This window comes from Homo sapiens, chromosome 14 (genome assembly GCF_000001405.40).
Source record: "Homo sapiens chromosome 14, GRCh38.p14 Primary Assembly".
NCBI lineage: Eukaryota > Metazoa > Chordata > Mammalia > Primates > Hominidae > Homo > Homo sapiens.
The window spans coordinates 51,198,527-51,205,596 of NC_000014.9; the positions used below are offsets into that span (position 1 = coordinate 51,198,527).

At 41.4% G+C, this 7,070-nt stretch overlaps 1 annotated feature.

Moving 5' to 3' along the window:
* Positions 5,171-5,350: an enhancer, noted in NCBI's record as "active region_8371". NCBI's record gives its function as "activates an Ori minimal core promoter by ATAC-STARR-seq in GM12878 lymphoblastoid cells {active_cell/tissue: GM12878}" and the evidence as "EXISTENCE:reporter gene assay evidence [ECO:0000049][PMID:35858748]".

Below are 7,070 nucleotides of genomic sequence, written 5' to 3' on the forward strand. Positions count from 1 at the left end.
TAGGGTAGAATACGGGCAATTGGAAGGATGCCGTGAATATAATTAATAATATATGGATGACTGTGTGCAAAAAAGAGTAGGAGGGATTCACTGTTCGATCCCAGAGCAGTGATAGCTGGGCTGACTAAGACAGTATATAATGGAAGACATTTCTGACTGAAATAATTAGGGGAAGAATGAAAACGTCAGTCTCTTAGTGACAAGAATTTCTTTTTACTCCAATTTTAGTTAAGACTCCCCCCTCGGTTCTTCTGTCATTTGAAATTTTCTTAAAGTAGTTTGGCATTTCCTTTTCAAAATGCCACCAGTCATGATTCAGGTAGCAATTTAGCTTCACAATCCTAGCTTTTTCTGTGTTAGAACACAGAGTAGAAAGAAGGAATATTTATCTCACAGGGGATTTTAAATCTGTGACTTAAAAAATTCTACTATAGATATTACAGAGTATAATTATTAGTTATCTTCAACTTCATTATTCATCCATTCACTTCATACTTTATGGCGTAATAGGAAATAATCTTTTGGCATATGAATAGAGTAAATGAATAGAAAATAGACTGGAATAAATTTAAGTCAGAGGAATGCAAGATATTCTTGCCTATGGGGGGAAAAGTTTATTTTTTTCTTTTTGAATCTATTATGTTTGAAAAACAGTCTAAAAAACATCCATTGTTCAATTCATTCCAGCAGTCAATGAAGCTAAAACACATAGATATATCAGTGTCCAAATGCTTTATTCTTACAGTGTTTCTTGCAAAACACAAGCATGTTTTACTGTTTTCTTCTTTTACTATTTTTTTAAAAAGACAGATCAGAGATATTTCTTAGATTACCACAGGCTCTATAGAAAACATTTTTGATCCAATAACCCATCATCCAATCTGGAGTTCTGTCTATAGTCAAATGGCTACTACCAACCAACAAATATACTATCATATGTTTAATAAATGTACAAAAAAGCCCTAATATTAAATATCTATCTCAGGACCTTGTTCAACATCGAGTTCCACTAAATAATCAGTCTTGCCTTTTTGAAATTCTTTATATGTCGTATTTGAATTTTTCCTGTAATCATTTAGCCCCTCTTTCTAATAGCTTTATAGCGTATAGGTTCTTTCAATAATTACTTTGGTAACATTGGACAATGTATGAGACTCACAATCACAGCTACTTGGTAGTTTTCTGATTGAACTTGAAACTTGCTGGATTTTTCTTTTCTCCTCTCAACTTTTTAGATTTAGGGAGTGCATGTACAGGTTTGTTACAAGGGTATATTGTGTGATGCTGAGATTTGGGGTACAATTGAACCCATTTCCCAGGTAGTGAGCACAGTACCCAATAGGTAGTTTTCAACCCTTGCCTCCCTCCCTCCCCACTCTAGTAGTCCCCAGTGTCTACTGCTCCTATCTTTATATCCATGAGTACCCAATGTTTAGCTCCCACTTATAAGTGAGAACATGTGGTATTTGGTTTCCTGTTCCTGTTAGTTAACTTAGGATAATGGCCTCCAGCTGCACCCACGTTGCTGCAAAGGACATTGATTTCATTATTTTTTATGGCTGTGTAGTATTTCATATATACACCACATTTTTTCTGTATCCAATATACCATTCATGAGTATCTAGGTTGGTTGGTTCCATGCTTTACTATTGTGAATAGTGCTGCGATGAACATACAGGTAAATGTGTCCTTTTGGCAGAACAATTTATTTTCTTTTGGATATATACCCAGTAATAAGATTGCTGGGGTTGAATGGTAGTTCTAAGTTATTTGAGAAATCTCCAAACTGCTTTCCACAGTGGATTAACTAATTTACCTTCCTACTAACAGTGTATAAATGTTCGGTTTGAGATCTTTCTAACTTCTTGATGTGGGTGTTTAGCACTATAAACTTTCCTCGTAACACTGCTTTCTACATCCCAGAGCTTTGGTATGTCTCTGTGGTTTTTTTTGTTTTGTTTTGTTTTTTCGACAGAGTCTCACTCTGTCACCAAGGCTGGAATGCAATGGCACGATCTCGGCTCACTGCAACCTTTGCCTCCCGGGTTCAAGCGATTCTCCTGCCTTAGACTCCCGAGTGGCTGGGACTACAGGTGTGCACCATCACACCCAGCCAATTTTTATGTTTTTAGGAGACACAGGGTTTCACCATGTTGGCCAGACTGCTCTTGAACTCCTGACCTCAAGTGATCTGCCTACCTTGGCCTCCCAAAGTGCTGGAATTACAGGCATGAGCCACCGCACTGGGCTGTGTCTCTATGTTTACTCATTTCAAAGAAGTTTTTGATTTCTGCTTTAATTTTATTGTGTACCCAAAAGTTACTCAGGAGCAAGTTGTTTAATTTCTGTGTAATTGTGATTTTGAGAGATCTTCCTGGTATTGATTCTATTTTTATTCCACTGTGGTCTGACAGTATGTTTGGTATGATTTCGATGTTTTTGAATTTATTGAGACTTGCTTTACTGCCGAGCATGTGGTTGATTTAGAGTATGTTCCATATGCCAATGAGAAGAATGTATATTCTGTGGTTGTTGGGTGGAGTATTCTGTAGATATCTATTAGGTCCAATTGGTCAAGTGCCAAATCCAGAATTTCCTTGTTAGTTTTCTGCCTTGATCTGTCTAATGCTGTCAGTGGAGTGTCGAAGTCCCCCACTATTTTTATGTGGCTAAGTCTTTTCATAGGTCTACGAGTACTTGATTTAAGAATCTAGGTGCTCCAATGTTGGCTGCAAATACATTTAGAAGAGTTAAGTCTTCTTCTTGGATTGAATCCTTTATCATTATGTAATGTCCTTCTTTGTCCTTTTTTACTATTGTTGGTTTAAAGTCTGTTTTATCTCATGTAAGAATAGTACCTCCTGCTCTTCTCTGAATTTCATTTGTACAATAGATCTTTCTCCCATTCTTTACTTTGAGCCTATGGGTATCATTACATGTGAGATGGGTCTCTTAAAGACAGCAGCCATTTTTTTTATCCAACTTGTTACTCTGTGCCTTTTAAGTGGAGCATTTAGATCATTTACATTCAAGGTTAATGTTGACATGTGAGATTTTGCTCCTGTCATGACATTTTTAGCTGGTTACTTTGTAGTCTTGATTGTGTAGCTGCTTTATAGGGTCTTTGGGCTATGTACTTAAGTGTGCTTTTGTGGTAGCAGGTATCATTCTTTCATTTCTATGTTTAGAACTCCCTTAAGGATATCTTGTAAGATTGGACTTGTGGTAATGAACTCCCTTTGTATGTGCTTGTATGGAAAAGATTTTCTCTTTCACTTATTAAGCTTAGTTTGGTGGGGTATGAAATTCCTGGTTGTAATTGCTTTTCTCTAAGGGTGTTGAAAATAGGCCCCCCATCTCTTCTGCCTTGTAAGGTTTCTGTTGAGAAGTCCCCTGTTCCCTGCGTTCCCTTTGTAAGTGATCTAACCCTTTTCTCTGTCTGCCTTTAAGATTTTTTTCTTTTGCTTTGACCTTGGAACATCTGATGACTATGTGTCTTGGGGATAGTCATCTTGGATAGTATCTTGCAGGGGTTCTCTGAATTTGCATGTTGATCTCTAGTGAGACTGGGGAAGTCCCCTGTTCCCTGGGGTTCCCTTTGTAAGTGATCTAACCCTTTTCTCTGTCTGCCTTTAAGATTTTTTTCTTTTGCTTTGACCTTGGAATATCTGGTGACTATGTATCTTGGGGACAGTCATTTTGGATAGTATCTTGCAGGGGTCTCGCAATTTATTGAATATGCATGTTGATCTCTAGTGAGATTGGGGGAATCTTCATGCAATATATCCTCAAATATGTTTTCCACATTGCTTACTCTCTCTCCTCAGGAATGCCAATAAATTGTAGGTTTAGTCTCTTTACATAATCCCATATTTCTCAGAGGTTTTGTTCAATTTTTAAAGTTATTTTTTCTTTATTTTTGTCTGACTGGGTTGATTCAAAGGACCAACCTTTGAGCTCTGAAATTTTTTCCTCAGCTTGGTCTAGTCGGTTGTTAAGGCTTCCAATTGTATTTTGAAATTCCTATGGTGAGTTTTTCAATTGCAGAAGTTCAGTTTGGTTCTTTCTTAAAATGGCTATGTCATTTTTCAACTCTTGGATAGGTTTACTGGCTTCCTTGGATTGGGTTTCAGCTTTCTCTTGAATCTCATCGAGCTTCCTTGCCATCTAGCTTCTGAATTCTATGTTTGTCACTCAGAAATTTCAATTGGGTTAGGATCCATTGCTGGGAAGCTAATGCAATCCTTTGGAGGTAAGGAAACACTCTGAATTTTTTAACTGCTGTAGTTCTTGCACTGATTCCTTCTCATCTGAGGGTTGATGTTTCTTTATCTTTTTGAAGTTGCTGTCATTTGGATGGGGCTTTTTGTGTTATATTCTTTTCTTTCCTTGAGGGTTTGACTGTGGTGTGTACTATGTATAGTCAATTGGCTTCATTTCTAGGGGATTTCAAAGGGTCAAAGCTCTGTATGTGTTCCTCAGTTGTGGCTAGTTTCCTATACTGGGTTTTGCAGATGTGTGCTGAAGAAATTTTTCTTCGGTGGTGTAATTCAGGCTGTGATCCTAGAGATGGTGCTTAGGAGGGAGTGCGGGCAGACAGGTGGCTTTTACTCAACCATGAGCTTCTTTTATATTTCAGTGCCTTCGCAGCAGTGCTCTGGGGAGAGGGGGACAACAGGAGGTGACAAGAGATAACCTCCTCACCAAGTCCCTTTCAGGGCCTTGGGCAAGTACCTTCCAATCATTGGTGCTGCACCCACATTTCCATAGCCCCAAGGGAGGCCGTGGCAGGCTATACTCCCCCGTCCCTTGAGGGTGGCCTCAGCCAAAGGTTAGGTCACCAGAAAGCCTGCAACTCCCTGGGGACCTGCTGTTCCTCTGTGCCTGGCAGAGTCATAGCAGGTTGTGGGGTATGTCTGTGGGTGGTGTGGTGATGCAGTGGGTCAAGGGTGGCAGATCTCTGGGCAGGGTGGTGGTGCTGGGTGTGTAGCTAGTGTGGTGCCCATGCCTCAGGGGTTTTTTGCCCAGCAACAGCTGTGGGGCCCTCCCAGTTCACACTGCCCTGAGCAGATCTCCCTCTAGTGTCTGCCCCAGGAGCAAGCCCACTCAGCTAGATTTGCAAACCCTGAGACTTCTGTGGCAGACTATGGGGCTCCCTTGGGCAGAAGCTGTAGCTGGTCAATAGGCTACAACCCTCCCAGACTGGTCTTGCAAAGGGAGAGATGCCCAGCTCCTGTGCTGGCTCATGAACCTGTGCCTCACTCTTCTCAGTATTCTGAGAGTGGGGACTCCTCCCCCACTTGAACTCAGACCACAGAGTTCAGCTTGATACCCCTGGGCAGTGTGCTAAACCCTGCAGGGTTGGGACCAGGCCCATAGCTTTGTCTTCTGGCCCCTTGGGGTTGAGCACCAGTTGTGCTGGGGGTGCCAAAATACTCCCAGGCCACTGGCAAAACACTCAGGCAGAGCAGTAGGGGCTGTGCTTTGTGTGCCTGCTTACAGGAGGGCGGCCAGCAGGCAAGGGGGCAGGCAGATCAGATATGCCTTGGTCCCATGGGAAAGGCAATCCTGCCTTCTCCCAGCCCAGCAGTCAGCAGGGGCTAGAGCCTCTCAGAGCAAGATGGAGAGCCCTGGGGGACGGGCGCCTGTGGCTGTTTTGCTACAGCTACCCCATATTTGAAACCTTTGTTGGTTTCATGTTGCATGTTGTGCATGTTGTGCATGTTGCAGCTCTGCCTCTGCCTACTCTCCAGGCAGTCTCCTTGCCAATTCGAATGTCTGTGGGGTTCATGGGATCTCTTGGAGCTAAAATCCCAGAGTTCCATAGTGGGAGTGTGGTGCCCCAGAGGTCCTTTGCTAACCCCTTCCTTAGGACCTGTTCAGGTCTGGGAGCCAGTCCTGGCATTTGGCAATTCCGTGCAGGCTTCCCAGCTTCCTTATTCTTCAACCTTGGTGTCTGCATTGCCGCTCTATGAACTTTCAGTGTTTTCTCTCAAAAGATCCGTTCGAAGTCTGATGGTTTATTCAACATTTTGTTTTCTGTGGATGGAAGAGGGGTTTCCTGGCTGCATCTAGTCAGCCATCTTGTCCCTCTCCTCGAGATTAGCCTGGACTTTTCTTACCCCTCCATATACCACAGGAGGCAATGCAGGACTCTCCTGACTGAAGCAAAGCAGAATCTACAGGGGAAATGGAAGGAAATAAAGCAGGCGGAGGAGTCTTCTGGGAGTTTGTTCCCTATGGAAATGTTTCAGATCTCCAAGGCTTCCTATTTGTAATCCAATTCCCCCCTGTGGCTAATAATTTCTGGCTGTTTATTTATTATTTCCAGAGGGAACGTTACCCTTAACAATAAATACCATACCATATCAGAAGAGAGACCAAATAAAAATGGCAAGTGGGTGAATGTAGAACTTACCAACTCACACATTAATTATCCCTGGTGAGATGAAGGGTGGGAGAGCTCAAAAGGCTTTGCAAAGCTCAATTTCAAATGGCTGGTAGATCCCCACAGGCCTTGCGAGGCAGAGGGCAGAATGGGGAAGAAACTATTGCATATGGCTTTTATTATATTTGTAAAAAATGGAACCATCTGTATTAGAAAATTTTGGAAAGATATTAAAAATCTAAAATTTTATGTTTTATATAAATATAAAATAAAAAAGAAATCTCATTTCTTTATAAAAATCTCAAACAGAAAGACATGCCAATGGAAAATTAAAGTTTAATCTGTATAAATTTCCTTTGTCATTTAAGGAAAATTAATGATTGAGCCAGTCCACGCATTTATCACATTTGAAGTCTAAAACTCTTTTTCCATAACGAGAAAGAAATACTCATTTTTCTTGGCTAAACCACTTTGAATAGAGTGTACTTTTTAAAAAAATCAGAAATTCTGGACTCTGAGGCATAGTAAGCACACTGGTGATCAGCTGTTACTGTGCGCGTTCTTCGGTTTCAATAGTGCTTGACTCAGCAGCCCTCTCTCGCAAAAATGGGGGGAAACATGACCTTTTAAAGCCATGGTAGGAACAGTGTGCCCCTCTGCCTCGAATGAGTATGTTCCAGCA